Genomic DNA, 22,406 nt, shown 5'->3' with positions numbered 1-22,406 from the left:
ATTTAGCAGAAACCCGCTGACTAATTCAAGTAAAAGGGGAAGGGGTGTTCTTGTAAAGAAAAAGAACAGGCTTGCTGGAATACACTTAATAGAAAGACTAGAGGAATGGCCGCATTTCCTCAGCCCTATGACTACAACAACAATCTATGAGGCACTAACAACATTTTGGAGTGTGGGTCCCCCACCTATTTGTGAGGTTATACTGCATTCTGTTTTATGGCACCTTGAGATCTGGTGCCTATGGTGGGAAGAAGGGGAGAGATGTAAGGAGTTGATATGTTTAGAGTGGAAGGATAAATATCCGATCTTCAGAGGGAATTTGTGGCTTGTTTTATGTGCTTTAGGGTAGAAGAGTGATCTTCAGTGTGTTAGGAATGCTTGTTCCCTGGTGCCGTAAAGAAATAGCACTTGAACATAAATTTAATTTCCTCAGCAAGGCCATTTTTTCACTTTCTGCAGAAAGGGTACACTCGCCAGCAGTTTTGCCACTAGAGAACACCAAACAAAGGAGACAGGGTCATTTATAACCTGACACGTCCACCCTACTGCTGTGTCCAGTTTCCATTGGCTAGAACGGTTCCTCACATTCTGTGTTTGTCCTGATTGGCTGGCAACTTAGAACTTTTTAAAAGAGGCAAAGGCAGAGGAGAACAAAAGAAGGAGGAAGTAACTTGCAGAATGCTGAGAAAGGTAAAAACATCTTCAAATAAGGAAGAGGAACAGGCTATGACCTAATGCTTGCTTGGACCAGTATAAGCATGCCAGGGCAAATATTTAGGCTAAATTGTGGGAGCTAAGAACATAAAATACATTGATTTCTTTATTACAGCTAGCAGATATTTAGGAATGTTAGCACAGGTCTTTGAATAAATTTTGCTTTCTAAGAGAAGTTACTATTTATTCCTAATTAGATGAGGAGGGAAGTCTTTGAAGAGGAACCTCTACTTTACTTTTTACAAGTGGGCTCCAACTTGGAAATCTATCTGGTATGCTCAGACGCAGGTATCATTAAAGAGTGCATTCTTCTAGGCCTCTCTTGGTTTTTCTTGTTTTCTCTCTACATCTCTACATCTCCACTGTCATGAGATATTTATTGAGGGCCTACTGCTTGCTCAGTTTCGTGTAAGATACCAAAATTAAGAGGATAATACAAGTTAATATGAGAGTGAATTATCAACTTTGGTGTTCAAATTTAAGTGCTACGGAATATCAGAAAAGGAAAATAGCACCAGAAATCTGGCTAGAGAAATCTGATCACATGACAGTGTGAAGACTGGAGATGGGCACCTGCTTCTTGAGCACTTCGCGTGTGCCATGGAAGGGGGACTCTGCCAGGTGCCAGATCATTGTTATTTATTTAAATGCATACAACAGCATTTTTTTCTTCAACTTTGTTTTAATTTCTGGGGTACAAGAACAGGATGTGCAGGTTTGTTACACAGGTAAACATGTGCCATGGTGGTTTGCTGCACAGATCAACCCATCACCCAGGTATTAAGCCCTGAATCCATTAGCTAATCTTCCTGATGCTCTCCCTCCTCCTGCCCTGCAAACAGGCCCCAGCATGTGTTATTTCCCTCCATGTGTCCATGTGTTCTCATCATTCAGCTCTCACTTTTAAGTGAGAACACGCGGTGTTTGTTTTCTGTTCCTATGTTAGTTTTCTGAGGATAACGGCTTCCAGCTCCATCCATGTCCCCGCAAAGGACATGATCTCATTCCCTTTTATGGCTACATAGTATTCCATGGTGTATATATACCACATTTTCTTTATCCAGTCTATCACTGATGGGCATTTGGGTTGATTCCATGTCTTTGCTGTTGTGAACAGTGCTGCAGTGAACATAAGCATGCATATATCTTTAAAATAGAATGGTTTACATTTCTTTGAGTATATACCCAGTAATGGGATTGCTGGATCAGATGATATTTCCTATTTCCGCCTCTAGGTATTTGAGGAATCACCACACTGTCTTCCACAATGGTTGAACTAATTTACACTCCCATCAACAGTGTAAAAGTGTTCCTTTTTCTCCGCAACCTTGCCAGCATCTGTTATCTCTTCACTTTTTAATAATTGCCATTCTGACTGGTGTGAGATGGTATCTCGTGGTTTTGATTTGCATTTCTCTAATGATCAGTGATGTTGAGCTTTTTTTCATATGTTTGTTGGCCACATGAATATCTTCTTGCAAGAAGTGTCTGTTCATGCCCTTTGCCCACTTTTTAATGGGATTGTTTGTTTTTTTCTTGTAAATTTGTTTAAGTTCCTTGTAGACTCTGGATATTAGACCTTTGTCAGATGAATAGATTGCAAGAATTTTCTCCCACTCTGTAGGTTGTCTGTTTACTCTGTTGATAGTTTCTTTTGCTGTACAGAAGCTCTTTAGTTTAATTGGATCCCATTTGTCAATTTTTGCTTTTGTTGCTATTGCTTTTGGTGTTTTCATCATGAAATCTTTGCCTATGCCTATGTCCTGAATGGTATTGCCTAGATTTTCTTCTAGGGTTTTTATAGTTTTGGGTTTTACATTTAAGTCTTTAATCTATCTTGAGTCAATTTTTGTATAAGGTGTAAGGAAGGGGTCCAGTTTCAATTTTCTGCATATGGCCAGCCAGTTCTCCCAGCACCATTTATTAAATAAATAACACTTTTCCCATTGCTTATTTTGTCAGGTTTGTCAGAGATCAGATGGTTGTAGGCATGTGGTCTTATTTCTGAGCTCTCTATTCCATTCCATACAACCACAGTTTTTTTCAGAGATGAGGCCTCGCTCTGTTGCCCAGGCTGGAGTGCAGTGGCTCGATCTTAGTTCACTGCAGCCTCTAACTCTTGGGCTCAAGTGACCTTCCCACCTCAGCCTCCTGAGTAACTGAAACGACAGGCATGAGCCACAACACCTGGCCTCACAACAGCATTTTGAAGTGAGTAGATAAATGAATATTGAGGCTCCTAGAGGTTAATCAACTTTCCCACAACAAATTTTGCCTGGGTAAGACAGAAAAAGGTAATCATTCCTAATGGGGAAAACTGAACACTGCAACTACACACGCATACACATGCACGCACACACACACACAAACTACACACACATACACATGCACACACACCCACACACAACTACACATGCATACACATGCACACACACACACAGACACACACACAACTACACACACATACACAGGCACGCACACACAGACACACACAACTACACATGCATACACAGGCATGCACACACAGACACACCCAACTACACACACATACACAGGCACGCATACACAGACACACACAACTACACACGCATACACAGGCATGCACACACAGACACACACACACAACTCCACATGCATACACAGGCATGCACACACAGACACACATGCACAACTACACACGCATACACAGGCACGCACACACACAACTACACACGCATACACAGGCATGCACACACAGACACACACACACAACTACACATGCATACACATGCACACACACAACTACACACACATACACATGCACACCACACACATACATATACACCCCACACACGTCACACACACATGCACACATCAACACTTACATACACACACCACACCTGCACTCAGAAATGCAGGTATTTAGCCTAGCAAGCTAGGACATTGTTTGGATCTCAGTGGGACTTAGTTAGAATGTTATATTCTGTTGGAAAGAATCAGAGAAAAGAAGCCAGAGTTAATCTCCAGAGAGTTAAGCCACCTGGGAATGCCAAGGTATACAGTTGAAGATCAGGGTCAGTTAATAAGGCCAATGGGTGAAAAACAGGAAGGGGGACATGACAGAGCAGGAGCATCGCCATCTTGGACAAACACTGCATTTTAAGTTCCTGTTGATTAAAAACCTCCTAAATCCAGCCCAAAAATATCAGCCTTATGGCTAATGTCAGCATGACCATAACCACAAGTGATATCTCTGACCAGAAACATTCCAACTCTGAGATAATCTCCCCTCTGACTAGAAACTTGCCAGCCCCAAGATTACCTTCCCTCCAACCAGAGACATTCCAATCCCACAATAAAACTCTCCTCCACACAGAACCATTCCAAGCCCATTATAAGCTCTCTCTCCCTAAGCCCTTAAATACCCTTAGTCTGTAAGGGAGAATGCTTCTGACCGAAATCGGCCAGAAGCCCCTCTCAGGTTTATTCTCCAGAATAAACCTGTCTTTGACTGTTGAGCTGCTTTTTGTGTTTCTTTCTTCTTTCTTTAACTCTTATAGGACAGAAACTGTAAATAAGCCAAAGAGGGGCCAGAGAAAACCAGAGTGAAACAAGAATAAAATTGTGGTGATGCTCTTCAAATAAGCCTAAAAGGGACAGTTGTTTACCATGATTGATCACTGGGGTGTAGTCTGCTTGTCTTGGACTTGAAGGTAGACAGCTGGAGTGGACCCAACAGGAACAAAGACATGGAAGCCAAGCTGGGCCTGACAGTGGACAGAATGGCCCAACTGAGGCAAGGTGCATGGCCACAGAGCATGTTGAATAAAAAGTTGAAGGCAAGGCCAGATGAGAAGGAGACTTGAATGCCAAGAATTTGGATTCAAAGCCACAGCTATAGGAAGCCAGCAAAGAGAAATATGTTTTTGAATTCTCAGCTTTAAATAATTCATCCCGGACCTATATTTTTAAGACATAACCCCTAAATGTGAAAGTGTTGCTAGTACTTCCAGAATTAAGTTAGCTTTGCAATTCAATCACTGAATGTGAAAGAGACCATTTCTGGGCATCAAAACCCAGTTTCCCCATGACTTGCACCTCCGGGTATTAAACAGAGGTAGATGACGTTTTGTATTCAGATGAGACTTCTGCAGCTAATCTCCTGTCACTCTAAAAGTAATTTACTTTCAAGTGGATAAAACTACATATGTTTTTGGATAAGAATTTAAACTGTCAAATTCTCTTCTTATGTAATCATTCAAACACTGCTCATTTCTAATTCCAGGATGTGGTCCCTACTTTAATGATTATATTTCACAGGTTTCCTCAACATCCTGCCCCATTGTCCACATAAATATACTCAACACAGGGTTATAGAAAATACTTAAATGATACTCTATCCAGGTCCTGGGGTACAAATTCTTGAAAAACAGGAACTACATCTCTGGCCCAATCAACTGATGTTGCTGAGAATTCAAGGCTATCTTTTTTATGGCGAGTCAAAAATCTATCCTAGATGTCCTTGTGAGGTATTCAATGGTATTGATAGTCATGCCTTTGATGGGGAGATTTTGGAAATGCATGCACTCTTTGAAAACTATCCATGTAGGCTTACTCAGAAGAGAAATACTTCTTTGCTTGTTTTTCCCCAAAAAGAGAACTATGAAAGTTTAGGCTTCATGATTAGAGCAGGCTCAGCTTGCTATTAAACAAACCAATAACAAAAGGCTTTGTGGCACTGCTTTTCTTGAGTGACTTTCTCCCTAGATCAAGTTCTGTTTTATATTCCAAAGCATTTCTTAAACAGTAGGCTTTTCACAAATCCCCCGTTTTCTCACCACGTCCCTTTGTATTAATTCTATTCAATCAGCTTTTTGCCCAGGACTCAACTGAGTCTGCTCCTATGAAACTCACTGTGACCTGTACTCACCACGTCCAGTGGGGTGTGCCACAGCCTCCTCCCTGACCTCCATCAGCATTGACTACTGCTCACGGCCTTCTCCTTCCTGAAGCTCTCTCCTCTCTTAGCTCCCTGCAGCTCCTGTCCCCAAGGGCTCTCCTTGATCTTCTAGAGCCCACCATCTATGATACTTCACTGACCTCCTTTCTTCTCCTGTCCCCATAATAAAGTTGTTGTCCCAAGGTTATCTCCTTGTCCTCCTTTCCTTAGTGTCCCAATATAAGTCTTTGAGTGATTTAATGTGGGCCCCTGCCTACAGTTACTTCCTTCCATGAGGATATCTCCCAAATCAATATAATTCAGTGTCCTCATTCTCTGTAGCTTCCTATTTCCTAACTGCCTGGCACATGTCTCAACCTAGATTGTCTTTGGAACCTCAAACTTATGACATTCAGCTTGATCCTGGCTGAAAGATGGGCTGGGAGCTTGCCTTCGGAAGAAGGCAGCAAGGACCGTTCTGTAGCAACCATGGAATGAAGGCTGGGAAAACTGACCAGGCCAGCATGGGCAGGTCCTCCTCCTCAGGGAAAGGCAGGTAATCCCAACTAAGTCAAAGCTGGCATAGAAAATTCAAGTCTGATGCACACTGGGATTCACAGTCCAGGAAGTTCTGATATAGCAGATCAATATTTGGTTCATCCACTTCATAAACCAGGCAGAATCATTTGAGATGAGGTGAAGGGTGCCAGGAGCAAAGTCCAGCTCAGAAGGCAAAGGGACTGGCAGGAACTCCACAAGAGGGCACAACAGAGAGCCAGGGCAGAAGAGCCTGGCTCTTAGGTATGCAGCGGGTGTGTTTAAAGAGGCTGAAGGTCTGCATTTGCCCAAGGGCCTGGCACACAGACCCTGGAAGGACTGCAGCTCAATCCTGCATACCACTAGAAAGGAGTGGGCTTCAAATGGACATCACTCCAGGTGCTGTCTTTTGAATGTTCCCTCCCTCCAAAGCTCATGTTGAAATTTAATCCTTAATATGACAGTACTGAGAGGTGGGACTTTTAAGAAGTTATTGGGTCGTGAGGTCCTCCCCAAATAAATGGATGCATCTATCCACAGATTAATAGATTAATGGGTTAATGGATTTATGGGTTATCACAGGAGTGTGACTAGTGGCTTTATCAGAAGAAGAAAAAAGATATGAGCTACTATGCTCAGCCTCCTCACCATGTGACCCTCTATACTGCCTTGGGACTCTGCAGAGAGTCCTCACCAGCAAGAAAACCCCCACCAGATGTAGTTCCTCAACTTTCTACTTCTCAACCTCCATAAATATAAGAAATAAATCCCTTTTCTTTATAAATTACCTAGCTTCATGGATTCTGTTATAAGCAATAGAAAACAGACTAAGACACATGGTCTGACTCTCATTTCTCCAGAGCCCGGGAAGAATTAAGCTTCAGAGAGCAGACATTGTTTGGGCAGCTGGGATTGGCGAAGTCTGGCAGAACTTTCCCTCCTAAAATGGAACTCATTTTGAGAATCATCCCTAGATCAGCCTGCTTCCAGATTTTCTTTTCTCCAGTGAAGACTTGGAATCAGCTTTGTCTCCAAAGTCATACCTGCCCTGCCATCAGTTGTCAAGTCCAGTTGGTTGCTAATCTGTCTACTCCACTTGCTTTCAAAGAGGACTTGAAGTAACTTGCAAAGATGCATACGTTAAAACAAGACTTAAAAACAGTTAGGTGAGGACAAGGGGAGAGAAAACAAGGACAAGAAAAATAAGATAAAGCCAGGGATATGACACAAACAAATCTACGTCACGATGCCCCTTGTTAAGGAGGAGCTCCAAGCTTGGTTTTGAGATGCTGAGCAGCCAACACAAAGAGGGAGGCATGCTCAGTGGCACTGGTCACAATGTTTCGAAGATACGAATCGCTGCTCAAAGAGAAGCACAGTTATTCCCGCTGCCAGAACTGAAATGAACATATGCATGTGAAGTTTCAGACAGAGCTTACGATGACATGGGGAAAATCCAAAGTATCATGTGGCTGCTTCTCACAATGCCCTCAGAGTAGGTGAGTGACCTAAGACAGAGGGGTGTTTGGTAAAAGTCCTCCTGTAGATTTGTTCTTGAAGTAGTCACTCACCTTCATCACTACTTTCCATGGCTGCTGCTCCTGACTTTCTTCCCTAGACTACCCCACGGCCTCCCTTACTCTGTCCCACACCAGCACTGGATCAGCCCCTGACTCACAGCACACTGCTCATCCTCTGTCTTCAGAAACCTGGCCCCGGGAGGCATGCCCTCCACCCTCATCCCTCTAGAGGGCCCAGCGCCCCCACCTGTCCCGTCTCTACCCCGCTACATGGATGTCTCACGTCTCTTCCCCCAAAACATCACATACTCTCTGCGATGGCTAATTTCATTTTATCTTATTTTTTAAGAGACAGGGCCTCACTCTGTCACCCAACTGGCTGCTACAGCTATGATTGCAGTGGTGCGATCATAGCTCATTGCAGCTTCAAACTCCTGTGCTCAAGCAATCCTCTCACCTCAGCCTCTCAAGTAGCTAGGACAACGGGCACGCATAACTGCACCTGGCTAATTTTTTTTCACCTTTTTTGAGGGGTCTCTCCACGTTGCTCAGGTTAGTCTTGAACACTGGATCATACTTGAATTTTCTATGCCAGCTTTGACTTGGTTTGGATTACCTGCTCCTCTCTGAGGAGGAGGACCTGCCCACGCTGGCCCAGTCAGTTTTCCCAGCCTTCATTCCATGGTTGGTGTAGAAGGGTCCTTGCTGCCTTCTTCCAAAGGCAAGCTCCCAGCTCATCTTTCAGCCAGGGACCAAGTTGAATGTCATAGGGTCTCCCTATGCTGCCCAGATTGCTCTTGAACTCCTGGCCTCAAGCAATCCTCCTGCCTTAGCCTCTTGAGTCTCTGGGATTACAGGCATGAGCCACTGCACCTAGCTGTGATGGCTAATTTCATATGCCGACTTGGCTAGGCTGTGGTGCCCAGTTGTTTGGACAAACATTATTCTAGATCTTGCTGTGAAGGTATCTTTTAGATGAGATAACATTTAAATCAGTGGATTTTGAGTAAAGCAGATTATCCTCCATAATGTGGGTGGGCCTCACCCAGTCAGTTGAAGGCCTTAAGAAAACCACAGACCTCTCCCAAGGGGAGGGAATTCTGCCAGCTGATGACCTTCAGACTCAAGCAAAAACTCTTCTTTTGGTCTCTAGCCTCTGGCTAGCTCTGGAAATTTGGAACTTGCCAGCCCCCATTATCTCATGATCCAATTCCTTAAAACCAATCTCACCCACCCACCCTGGCATGCACACTACCTATTGTTGTTGCTGTTTCTTTAGGGAACCCCGACTGATTTACTCTCCAGGTTCCTTCTTTCTTGGATGCCCTCTTCCCGCCACTCCTGTTTGTCAAACTCTGATCCATGCCATAAGGGACAGCCCAGTCATCTCTCTGTGGGGCACCTCCTCATTGCTTGCAATCTGGAGTGGGATCTGCCCCCTTCCCGTCTCTGAGCAGCGCTCATACCCTGCCTGTGTGGAGTTACTGGCTCCTGACTTAGCACACATCCTTACAGCATAAGCCTCTCAGGGCAGATTCTTGACCTAGAGTCAGGCACCCAATAAATATCTAAAGACACTCAGGGAATCCTCACAGCAAGAGTCACTCCGAAATGTACCTTCCCAGAACACCCACCAACTAGATCAGCTGCCAAGTCTCCATTTTGTAAAAGAAATTCAGAGCAAGACAGGCTTATGTGCATAGAGGGATTTAGTCATAAGAACAAATAAAGGGTCCAGAAGTTTCTGATGGCTTTTTCTTTAGCACTGAGTCACTAAATATGGGGGGCAAACTAGGATTTCTTTTTTCATGAATGAGTAAAAACCCATGTGGCAAGACAAAGAAAAGCCTGGACAACAGGCAGCTAAACATTCTCATGGGCAGCCAAGTCAAGGTCCCGGTGGAGTAATTCAACTTTCTCTGTGTGCAGCCACCTGTTGCTGTGACCGCCCAGGTAGGACATCAGGAGCCACCTGGTGGCTTGTCCGGCCATGCAAACCACATGCCAGTGTGCCTGCTGGAGGAAGGGGAGCCAAGGCAACACTCAGCACACAGAAATCCCGCCTGGCAGCAAGGCTGAGGCCCCAGGGGCTGCCAGATGGAGCCTGCCGGATTCCACGCAGCTGCAAGCTCGGTTTAAGAGCTCCTCTTGAAGCAATGATTCTGGCACCTTGCAGAGTGCATGGCCTGCCACCAAAGACATCAAATTAATAATTCATACTTAGCATTTAGGTACCACTGTCATGCTGGCCAAGTCATTAGTACATGCATTTTCTATTTCTGCCAGGGATTGCTTCCCAGAGACATTATTGCCGTGTTGCTGATAATAAAGCCAGCGCTGATGAGAACTGGCAAGGTGGAATTCACCTCAAGTTAGGGGAAGAGCAGGGCTCCAGAGTTTAGCCTCCAAAGATACACAAACATGGTGACCATCGATGAGCAGGGGAGGACAGGAAGGCCTGGCAGTCCCAGTCCCAGAGCCCACAATCCAGCATCTGTGGACTATTCATGTAGCCTAGCAAGGCCTCGGCTTCTCATCTGAAGATGAAGGGAGCGGGCCATGTAATCTCCAGTTTCCTTTCAGGTTGAACATCCTGCATCACGGGCTCATGGACGGTTCAGGCAGAGTCTTAAGGGGCTGTTTTCCATTCCTACCTCCTCTCTTGATGACAAACCTCTACAGTGGGACCGTCACTTCCTTCATGGAACATGTGTACCATATCTAGGCAAGCAGGGCCCTGGAGAAGGAGCATGTAGAATTCTCTTACAGACAGGTGCTTCTGCATCCTTTAATGTGCTATAAACTTACAAATCTTGGTAATAAACAAAAGTGAAACAAAAGCCTTTGGATGCTGGTCTAGTGGGTGGAATTCTAGTTTTTAAAATTCATTTCCTTATTTTCATTTATTTTAGAGCTGAGATCTAACTGTGCTACCCAGCCTGGAGTCCAGTGGCTTTTCACAGGTGCAAGCATGGCACACTACAGCCTCCTGGACTCAAGAGATCCTCCGAACTCAGCCTCCTGAGTAGCTTGGACTCCAGGCATACACCACTGCTCCCAGAAGATTCTGTTAATCCTTCATCCGGGTCACCGCTATCTGACCCAGCCCCCTGCTGCTGCCGTGCACAGACAGCACATTCACTGCTGGAGGCTACTGTAAGAGGTTTGTCTGAATGGCGTTAAGTTCTTTGCAGAGGGATCATCTGCACTCCCTGCCTGCCACCCAGTGCTCTGCACTCGCAGCCTGGAGGCTCCCACCACTCCCCAGTTTTTGGATAGAAACATTGAATGGCCCCTCTCCAGAAGGAAAAGCTTAAGCAATGTGTGCGAATACTCCCAGGAGCTCCAGCCTGTTGGGAGAAGTCTGAAGTCCACGACTGCCTTAGTTCCCTTGGGCTGCTATAACAAAATACTGTGGACTGGGTGGCTTGTAAACAACAGAAGTTTATTTCTCACAGTTCTGGAGGCTGGGAAGTCCAAGATCAAGGCACCTGCAGATTCAGTGTCTGGTGAGGGCTTTCTTCCTGGTGTATTGATAGCACCTTCTTGGGTCTCTTTTATGAAGGCACTAATCCTACTCATTAGGCTCTACCTTGATGACCTAATCACCTCCCAGAGGCCCCAACTCCTAATACCATCACTGTGGGGATAAGGATTTCAACATATGAGTTTGGGGGCAGTTTCAAACATTCAGACCACAGCACCCACACACATCTTTCCCATCTGCTGATGGGGAAGTGTGTGACAGTTCCTAGTCAACATGCATTCTCCCCTACAAAATCCTTGCATCATTGGAGGTGGCAAGGTGCCTGCTATAAAGCGTGTCTTCGCCAGGACTCCTTCATACCAGGTGCAGCCATGGGACTAAGTTTTAGGAAATTAGACATGGAAGTGTGTTGGGAAGGACTTCTGGAGGGGGCTCCTTAGAAGTGGGGACAGACTGATGAGGAGAGCTATTTTGCCCCACCACTTCACCTTCTCCTTGGAATGCAGATGAAATGGCTGGAAGTCCAGCAGGCAACCTGGGCCATCATGTTACCTTAAGAAGGGATGCCCCACACTGAGATGGTGGAGCCAAAGGTGGAAGGCACCTGATGTCCAGGTAAGACCTGCCACGCTAGCCTGGCTCTGTCTACCCCCTGAAAAAGAAACTGCCCTATTTGTGTAAATTCACTGTTCATTTAGTTTTCACTTAACTGTAGCCAAATTGGGTCCTAACTGATATGCAACCCCATACAATAATCACCGTTTTGGAGATGTGAATGTGAGTCGATCTGCCGCTCTCACTGACCAAACGGCAGTGGGACCCTAACACCTCCCACCAGGCATGCAGCTCTGCCCCTGGGGTGTCCATCGGTGCATCCGGAGCAGAGCCTGCTCCACACAGTTCGACTCCATCCCCTCCTCCTCGTTCACAGTTGAGCAGACACTGAGCTAGGTGGGTGTCAGGCTTCTGGGTTTTTTGTACTGTTTTGTTTTTTTTTCACCAGGAGGGATGAAGGCAACTCTGTCAGCCCCAGCAGTGGAGGCAACAAAAAAATGGCTTGGGAGTTGGAGCCAGATATAAAAGCTGCAGACACGGGCCCAACAGTCAGAGGGGTGGCAAACAACAGATGAAATGGATCAGGGAAGAACAGAGGCCCTGGAAGGAAAACACACTTCAAACACCAAGAGGTGGGAGAGTGTTACTATGGCAATGCAGGGCTTGGGGCTGGAGCGGCAGAGGGGCTGCTGAGAGCCAGTGATGAAAACAAAACACAAAGGGAGGAGATGCCCAATCTGGAGCTCTGCCAGAGCAGGGTGGGCACCAACTCTCTCTCCTCATCCCTGGCTTGCCGGCCGCTCCAGCCCCTCCAACTCCCAACGATAGAATGCAACTCTCAAAGCCACAGCAGAGCACAGAACAGCCCTGACCTGGCCTCCCCAGCCCTTTCAGCAAGTACAGCCCTGGCTTTCATTTATCTGGGAAGGAAAATCGTGCTCTCCTGCCTGCCTCTAGGACTTAGCTTCTTCCGAGCCCACCATTTGGAATTGTGTTTCCCTCCTCTGCTGCAGCATTGAGAAGAGACATTATCTTCTTCCTTCCTTCTTTTTTACTTCTTTTTATTATTATTAATTTTTAATTTTGAGACAAGGTCTCATTATGTTGCCCAGGCTGGCCTCAAACTCCTGGGCTCAAACAATCCTCCCGCCTCGGCCTCCCAAGTAGCTGGGATTAACAGGCGCACACCACACCCAGCTCCCTTTCTTCCTTGTTATCTTTCCATTTTTATTTTGTGCTAGAGCCCCAAATTACGGAAGATTATGTGACAGCAGTGAGAACGTATCACATCAAACTCAGATATGCAGGAAAAAAACTGGCACTCTTAATTTTCTCTAACTGCTTTGAATTTGCTCTGACACCCATATTCCTGTTCAGAATTGGGATTGCTGAGGGGCAAAGATAGAGAGAAGAGGACATAAATCCACCAAATAAAGGAAGCTCAACCTGGTGTCGTCTCAAGCCATCTTTCTTAGGGTAACCCCATTTCTTTGAGGTAAATACCCCACCTTTAGAGTTTCTTGCTCCTGCTGGCCAGTGACATCTGGGAGTCTGTTGGGGTCAGTGGATGCATCTGCAGGGTGCTGAGGACCCCTGGGCCCACAGGCCTGCCGTGTGTGTTTCCTGGGCCCTCCAGGCCTCCTCAGGAGCCTTCTTGGGCTCTACCACCAGACACTCCCCTGGTACTTGCTACTCTGGTCTCCCATGGGGAGGCGGTGGTCAGCCCCTCTCAGAGTCTGCACCTGGTGGGCCTTTCTCGTTGACCTAGCCCTATTTCTGCCACCTCTAAATATCAGGTGTACAGTCTAGCTAGCCCTGGCTTAGGCCATCACCCCACAATCTCTGCTATGGGGTCCCCCATGCCTTGCCATGGCAGCTCTTGGGCAGGCCCCTCAGCTGGCACTGCCTTAACACATGAACGATTTATTTGCTGCCAAGACTGCCCCATGTTGCCGTAGGGCACATTCTCTGAAATGGAGTCTGCCCGGTGTCCCATAGAAAAGACAGAGGAAAAGGCCCTCTTCCTGTTGCTTCCCCTTCGGGCCTGTCTAGGATAGCTACCTTAAACCTTGCATTAGTTTATTTTGCACTGCTATAAAGGAATACCTGAAACTGAGTAATTTATAAAGAGGTTTATTTGGTGTCTGATTCTGCAGGCTGTACAGGAAGCATGGTGCTGGCATCTGCTTCTGGGGAGGGTTTCAAGGAGCTTCCAATCATGACGGAAGAGGAAGAGGAGTAGGCATCACATGGCGAGAGAGAAGGAAAAAGAGGAGGAGTTGCCAGGCTCTTTTTAACAATCAGGTCTTGTGTAAACTGATAGAGCAAGAATTCATTCATTACCGCAGGGATGGCACCAAGCCATTTATCCAGGGATCTGCCCCATGACCCAAACACCTCCCTCCAGGCTCCATCTCCAGTATGGGGGATTACATTTTGACATGAGATTTGGAGAGAACAAATATCCAAACTATACCATACCATAGGCTCCCTTGGCTGCTTACCTCAATAAAAAGAGTCAGGATCCTCACACTTGACTGATTACTATCCCTTCTTTCCAAACCGAAAGGACTTCCCCTTCCCCTTACTCTCTGGTGAGACTGGGGATTTACTCTCCATCATGGCTTCCTTAGGAACTTCAGTGGTGCAGGTGGTACCAACCCCCTCATTCCTTAGAGAATTCCTTATAGTTTAGTCTAGATGGTGGAATGAGTGTGGTGAAGGAAACCATGTATACATCACAAAGCATTTTGAAAATATTGTACTCTATACAATTATTATTAGTTTTCTTTGAAATAATATTGAATTGCAACTATAACACATAGAAATAAAAGGATATATTAATTAGAAATCTTATCATCAATATTATTAATCACTTGAATGCTTTTATAAATGAGAAGGTCCATAAACAATTTCTCTGTAGATATATTTATATACCTATACATTTTTTATAAGACCAAAATCCTGTCTTCCTAAATGAGATGACTGGGCATATCAGTCAGGAAATCATTTTCTTATAACGGAAACAATTAAAAGGGCTTCAAAAACAGGTGTTGATTGTTCTCACATATCATGGAGTCTGAGTCTAGGCAGTCCAGAATTGGAGAGCTGCTCAATCATGCTGTCAGGGACCAAAAGTCATTCCTGCCTCACCATTCCCAGCATGATGGCATTCAGCCTGAACATTTGTTGCCTTCTAGCACAAAATGGCTGCAGCCCCTCCAGATCTCACTTCCATGTTTCAGACATAAATATGAAGGAAGAAGAGAAGAAAAAGGAGGGGACATCTGAGTCAAGGAAGCAAAATTTTCCCGGAAACCTCCATTTATGTGCTATTGGACGGAACTGTACTGCATGGCTCATCCTAACTACAAGGGATTCTGAGAAAGCCAGTATTTGCAGCCTGACACATTGGTGCCCCAAACATAACTGGGGCTCTGTAGTTTAATAAAGGGGATGGTGTCAGAATGGGAATGGCTATTGGGTAGGACACTAACATGTCTACCAGTCTGGGGGATTAGAACAAGACATTTCATCTGTTTGAGCCTCAGTTTCTTCAGTTATAAAATAAGTATGGATTAGACATATAAATTCTAAGATTTTTCATCCAAGAGTCCTAATAGTAGACAATAAGCCAACTCCTTTCCTTATTCTAAGATAAAACCAACAGAGCCCCACAAAATTTCACGAAAGTCTCATATTTAATCGTGAAAACTCATTCATTTTTCATTCTAGGTCGTAGTATGTTTGGTTTCGTATAAAAATATGTATATTTTAATCTGCAAGTTAAAATTGCAACATTTGTCATGTAACTTTGCGCACACACTCTCCTCAGAGCACATGCACTTCAATCTGAGAAACTCTTAAATTCTTAAAGCGATGCTAGGGCACGACAGGATTTTCCAGTCTCCACGCAGAAGAACTTGCCTTGAGGTCACTGGGGAGGTCAGTGGGAGATGGGAGAGGACCATTGGCTGGTCCTGCTGAGGGCTAGACTAGGGCTTCCTTTTCAAAACTAGACCAGTTGGTGTCTGTGGACATGCCAGATATACTGCAGCTGTCTCCTGCATCCTAGAACTCAGATTTCTGCCGTATAACCACTCATCATTTTGGCGATTGCTCTGTAGGCTGGGGACTTCATGATTTAACATTGCAAACACTGGTGGCCCTGTTCACAGGATGATGTAGGAGAGCCCAGGGTCACGAGTTCCTTCCCAAGCTCCACAGGCAATACCTGAGAAAGAGACTTTCTCGGTGTCCTTGACCAGTGTCAGATAAGCCTGAAGCAGCAGCTCCTCCTTGTCTCACTGTCCTTAGTTCCTTCGTTTTTCTCCACGTATCTAGGAAAAAGAGTGCTGGCAGGCAAGGGCTCAGAGCTATCTCAGGACAGGGGAGTGCCCCTCCCTACTGCGTTCCTCCCTTACCTGATGGCACGTCAGGCAGGGCTCACAGGGCATGGCTACACCAAATCTTATCCCTGGGATCAGGAACCATCTCTCCTCAAGGCTAAGAATTTTCAAAATCCTTCTTTTGTGCACTGATGATGATAAGAAACCTTTGATTTAGAGAAGTGTCAATAGATGCACATGCTCCAAGCATGTTGAAATGTGTTACACAGAACTCTCCGCAGATAACAGAATAGGGCAGTGGGGTGGGGTGGGGTGGGGTGAGGTAGCTCACGGAGACATACAGCATTGGTGGAACTCCCCATGCAGATTCACAATGCATTTGTGCATGTTAAGGCTCTGAGAAGTCCTGTAGCAAGGAGATGATATTTAGCTCCATGAAGTCCAGAATTTCCTAAATGCATGTAAATGCAAAACTCTTTTACCCTTTTGTTCACTTTTTAATTTTTTTTTTTTTTTTTGAGACAGAGTCTCGCTCTGTTGCCCAGGCTGGAGTGCAGTGGCACAATCTCGGCTCACTGCAAGCTCCGCCTCCCGGGTTCACACCGTTCTCCTGCCTCAGCCTCCCGAGTAGCTGGGACTACAGGCGCTCACCACCACGCCCGGCTAATTTTTTGTATTTTTAGTAGAGACAGGGTTTCACTGTGTTAGCCAGGATGGTCTCGATCTCCTGACCTCATGTTCCTCCTGCCTCAGCCTCCCAAAGTGCTGGGATTACAGACGTGAGCCACTATGCCCGGCCCACTTTTTAAAATTTTTTATAAATTTAGAGGATACAAGTGCAGATTTCTTACACGCACATATTGTGTAGTGGTGAAGTCTGGGCTTTTAGTGCACCCATCACCCAAATAGTGTATGTTGTACCCAATAGGTAATTTTTCAACCCTCACCCCCTTCCACCCTCCCAACTTTCGTCGTCTCTCATGTCTACTATTCCACTCTCTATGCCCATGTGTGCTCATTGTTTAGTCCTACTCATAAGGGAGTACATGCAATATTTGACTTTCTGAGTTATTTCACTTAAGATAATGGCCTTCAGTTCCATCCATGTCACTGAAAAAAACACATGATTTCCTGTTTTTTTTTTTTTTTTGGCTGAGTAGTATTCCATGGTGTATATGTACCACATTTTGTTATCCAGTTCTCCATTGATGGACACTTAGATTGATTCCATATCTTTGCTATTGTGAATAGTGCTGTGATAAACATACGAGTGCAGGTGTCCTTTTGATGTTATGATGTTATGATTTTTCCCTTTGGGGAGACACCCAGTGGTGAAATTTCTGGATCTAATGGTAGTTCTGGTTTTCAGTTCTTTGAGAAATCGCCATACTGTTTTGCATGAAGGTCGTATTAATTTACATTCCCACCAACAGTGTTATAAGCCTTCCCTTTTCTCCACATCCTCACCAACATCTGTTGTTTTTTAGACTTTTTAATAATAGCCATTCTAATTAACGTAAGGTGGTATTTCACTGTGGTTTTAATTTGCATTTCTCTGAGGATTAGTAATGTTGAGCATTTTTTCATATTTGTTGGCCACTTGAATGTCTTCTTTGGAAAAAGTCTCAGAAATCTCCTTTGCATTGCTCACCTGTTAACCACAGAAGGAATGGGTTTCACCCCATCATTCTAGGAGAGCAACACTTTGGGAGCTAGAACAGCAGCTGGCTGGATGTTAGTGGACATTAAACCGTAGTGTACACATTATGTGCGCTTCCACTAAGCCTAGTCTTCTCTACAATTTAAGAAATGATATTCTGATCACTTTTTCCTTGGATGGATTAGCTATCTCTTATTTTTCCCCAACTGCAAAGTGAGGACAGCAATACTTATCTTATAAGAACATGTGAAAATTACCTGTATTTTAAGAAGAAAATGCTGGTCATTAATCAAAAGGACATGTAGCACCTTGGTAGGGACAGGTCTTATTCCACTTAATTCCGTATTCTGGCTTGGGCTTGCACTGAAATGTAGAATGTTAAAACCTGCAAAGATTTGATCTTAAGTTATGTAAATTATGTAACTATGGAAATTAAATGTGTGATGAGAGTAAAGGGAAAGAAAAAGGAAACTAAAAGGATTGAAATTTAAAAAGAAGTGATCAAGCAGAGGATGGAAGGGAGAGCTGGAACAATATACTGGTGAAAGGCTTCAGCCAATGTGGATGCATTGCTTCCACTTTGTATAGTGTGTGTAAACCACGCTGTACGGTGGACAGCAAGGTATCCACTGTATTGGCCATTTGCTCCTGCCCTACAATTCAAGTTAGATGTGCATGGGTTGTAATGCCTTTGAAAAGAGAGAGAGAGACTGAAATTAATGCTGGATGCTACTCCTATTATCTCAGTAAACATTTCCCCCAACATAATCCAGTTTCATCAGATTGGATGAAGGATATTGTAAAAGCACTCGCAAGTGCCTGGCAGTGGGTTACTAACAAATGCATCATGCATCTGAATCTGGGGTGGGGAGAAGCAGGAAGCCATTGGGAGGTACAAGTGCCTGGAGAATGCGTAGGCAGACAGAGGAGAGAAGGGCCGTGCTGCTGGGGGGCACTGCTCACAGGAACCCCATTCTTCTTTTTCCTGATTTGAGGGAAAGAAAATAATAAGAAGCTCTATCTCATTGAATTTATGATAGCCATATTTACCTCTGAGCCATTTAAAATCCTTTTAAAAGAAAAAAGGTCAGTGATAAATATTAATAAGCAAGAGAAAAAAAGGAGATAGAATGAAAAGGGCACAGTCGGGGCACGGTGGCTCACACCTGTAATCCCAGCACTTTGGGAGACTGAGGTGGGAAGATTGTTTGAGCTCAGGAGTTCAAGACCAGCCTGGACAACAGATCGAGACCCCATCTCTACAAAAAAAAAAAAAAAGAGGGAAAATAAATCGAAAGAAAAGGGCACAGGATACCAAGTCAGACGATGTGTGTTCAAGTTCAAATCCTGGTAGCTAAATCTTTACATGCCTTGGATCACTGAGTTTCTCAGAGCTTTGATTTTCTCATCTATAAAATGAGGGTAATGACATGTCTCTCACAGCCTTGTGAGTAGCCCTGGAGATCACACACACATGCAAACTTACCATCCCCGCTCCAGGCTCTAAGTGGGGTCAGAGAGCGTTTGTCATCTTACGCACCTGTGGCTGCTCCTCAGCCAGATTGATGTGAAAAACTTGAAATGAAATTTAAAACATGATGATCTACCTGGAGGACTGTTTTAGATCATTTCGAACTGCTCTCAGCAACTGCATTCTGCTGCTAACGACTATAATCATCTCAATGCTTTTTCTGGTTTTAAACGTAAATATTTTAGAATAGAAAACATAGCAAGCAGCCAATTCTTTAGAATTGCCTATGTGAGGAATACAGCTAGGAAAGGAGGTTGATAATGCATGAACTTGCGCTAAAACATTAAAATGCAATAAAGTTACCAACAGCCTCCTAATCTTTCAGACTATCTTGGCTTCTGATTTTAATACTACCTTACAGATTTGTTGAATGATAGACTTAAAAAAAACTACACAGTTTCAGAGATAAACAAGGTTAGCATTTTGATGTATTTCCCTTTAACCATGAACCAAAGGAGAAGCCACCACTGTCCCATGGAACTAGGCTCCACCCCTCCCCAAGTCTCAAGAACAACCCTGCCCATCTAAGATCAGGGAGTGCATGTTAAACAGGTGAGCTCAACAGCAAGTATCACTCGAGACCAGTCCTTTTCCAGTGGGTCCTGGTCCCTGCCCACAGCCTTGCCCCCACTGGGGCCTGCCTCCCTCTGATGATATTCTCTTCCTGCCCCACTCTGCAGGCTATTTCTCCTCCTTGTCTGTATTTTACTTCATTTGTCCTGCTCCAGTGAAGTTCCCCTGCCCTCCAGCCTTCTCCTGCCTTCCACACTAAACCCCAGGTTAGTCCTTGGGCCACATTGTCCCTCCAGATGCCTGCCTGTCAGACTCAGCCTGGGACCTGGACCTGCCCCACCAGGCATATCCTGACCCCAACATGGGCCAAGCCATGCCAGGCACTCAAAACACCTGTAGACCTGATCAGAGAGCAGACCTTTCTTAGGACTGTCAGAAAACACATTAAGGAGTATCGAGCATTTCATTTGGAAGGAAGTTAGAAGATGCAGAGGCAATTTTATGCATGACTAGAGTTAAAGAACAAGCATGATGCAGTCCCTTCCTTAAGAAAATCAGATTCCCTTTCTTTGGTCCTCCCTCAATTGTTTTCTCCTACCTGTTCCTTTCCCTCCCTCTCTTTAACCTATCCTGCCTTTTCCCCTCCAAAGTCTAAGCAATGGCAAGAGAAATTAATTCACTGCAAACCATCTGCAAGTCTGAACGGAAGTTTTGGAGACTATCCTGCACATGCTCACACATGCAGAGGCACACACAGACACACACACAGAGCAGAAGTGATAAGACAAAGAACAGCAAGCATGGTGGCTCCCACAGAACAGCAGGCATGGTGGCTCACACCTGTAGTTCTAGCTACTAGGGAGGCTGAGGTGGGAGGATTGTTTGAGCCTAGGAGTTTGAGGCAGTGGTGAGCTATGATCGCTCCACTGCACTTTACTTTAGCCTGGGTGACAGAGGGAGACCCTGTCTCTTAAAAAAATAATCATCCAGCTGTGTGCAGTGGCTCATGCCTGTAATCCCAGCACTTTGGGCAACCAAAGCCAGCAGGTCACTTAAGCTCAGGAGTTCAACAGCAGCCTAGGCAACATGGCGAAACCCCATCTCTACAAAAAATACAAAAATTAGCTGGGCATGGTGGCATGCACCTGTAGTCCCAGCTACTCAGGAGGCTGAGGTGGGAGCATCACTTGAGCCCAGGAGTTCAAGTCTTCAAGTGAGCCGTGATTGTACCACTGCACTCCAGCCTGGGTGACACAGTGAGACCCTGTTTCAAAAAAAATAAATAAATCCACAGAATACATATACACCATGAAATACTATGCATCCATAAAAAGAGTGAAATCGTGTCCTTTGCAGCAACATGGGTGCGGCTGGAGGCCATCATCCTAAGCCAATTAACACAGAAACAGAAAATCAAATGCTGCATGTTCTCACTTATAAGTGAGAGCTAAATAATGAGTACACATGGACATAAAGATGAAAACAATAGGCGCTGGGGTCTCCGAAGGGGAGATGGAGGGAGGGAGGCAAGGGCTGAGAAACTACCTATTGGGTCCTGTATTCATTGTTTCGGTGATGGGTTCAGTAGAAGCCCAAACCCCAGGATTATGCAATACATCCATGTAACAAACCTGCACATGTACCTCCGAACAAAAATTTTTAAATAAGTAAATAATTTGTTTATTTTAAAAATAAAAATAAACAAAAAGGATGCACAGAAGTCAGGAGCTAGGACCAGAATTAGCTGAAAGCCATAGCACACCTATGGGCTTCAGTTACCACCACTGACCAGGAGCTCTACGAGTTTATCTCTCAGGTCCCTCCTCTAAGTGCACAGCTGTCTCCCCAGCTGCTGCTTGGCACCACCATGATCTCTAAGTCAATGTGCTTCGAGTTATGATTATGTTCTTTCACCCAAAACCCAACCCTCCTTCTCGGTGTCCATTCCCAATTCAACCTGCTGTACAGGCCAGGAATACGAAAGTACTTTTGGACTCCTTATTTTCTTTCTTTTTTTTTTTTTTTTTCTGAGATGAAGTCTTTCTCTGTCGCCCAGGCTGGAGTACAGTGGCTCAGTCTCGACTCACTGCAACCTCCGCCTCCCAGGTTCAAGTGATTCTCCTGCCTCAGCTTCCCAAGCAGCTGGGATTACAGGCACCCACCACCACGCCCGGCTAATTTTTGTATTTTTGGTAAAGACAGGGTTTCGCCGTGTTGGCCAGGCTGGTCTCAAACTCCTGACCACAGGTGATCTGCCCACCTCGGCTTTCCAAAGTGCTGGGATTACAGGTGTGAGCCACCACACCCGGCCTGGACTCCTTCCTTTCTTTCCATGCAAAGCATGCTCAATCCATAACCAAGTCCTGTTGAGTTTGTTACATAAATAGCCCTTGACTTAATCCTCTTCTCTCCACTCACACAGTCACCCCCCCCGGTCCAAGTGGCAATGGTTTCTTGCCTGGACTGTTATAAATGCCTCCTTCACTTGCCTTTCTGCATCCAGCAGGGCTTCCCTCTTCTCTGCAGTGGATGACATAGCCAGAGTAATCTTTTCAAAACATAAATCTGATCACATTTTACACACATACATACACACACACACCCTTAAGAGCCTTCTTTATT

At 45.0% G+C, this 22,406-nt stretch overlaps 1 long non-coding RNA gene across 1 annotated transcript in view; it reads left to right on the top strand.

Moving 5' to 3' along the window:
• The window catches only part of LOC105373161 (uncharacterized), a 29,235-nt gene extending 16,448 nt beyond the window's left edge, over positions 1-12,787 (top strand). The window contains exons 2-4 of the long non-coding RNA XR_949247.1: positions 10,602-10,852; positions 11,683-11,791; positions 12,180-12,787. This is a non-coding gene — a long non-coding RNA (uncharacterized LOC105373161). The remainder of the gene's footprint in view (positions 1-10,601; positions 10,853-11,682; positions 11,792-12,179) is intronic.
• Positions 12,788-22,406: the final 9,619 nt, after the last annotated feature.

The sequence above is a fragment of the Homo sapiens genome, chromosome 1 (genome assembly GCF_000001405.40).
Source record: "Homo sapiens chromosome 1, GRCh38.p14 Primary Assembly".
NCBI classification, from domain to species: Eukaryota; Metazoa; Chordata; class Mammalia; order Primates; family Hominidae; genus Homo; species Homo sapiens.
The sequence above is the reverse complement of the archived record's forward strand: the minus strand, read 5'-3'. Positions and strand labels throughout refer to the sequence as shown.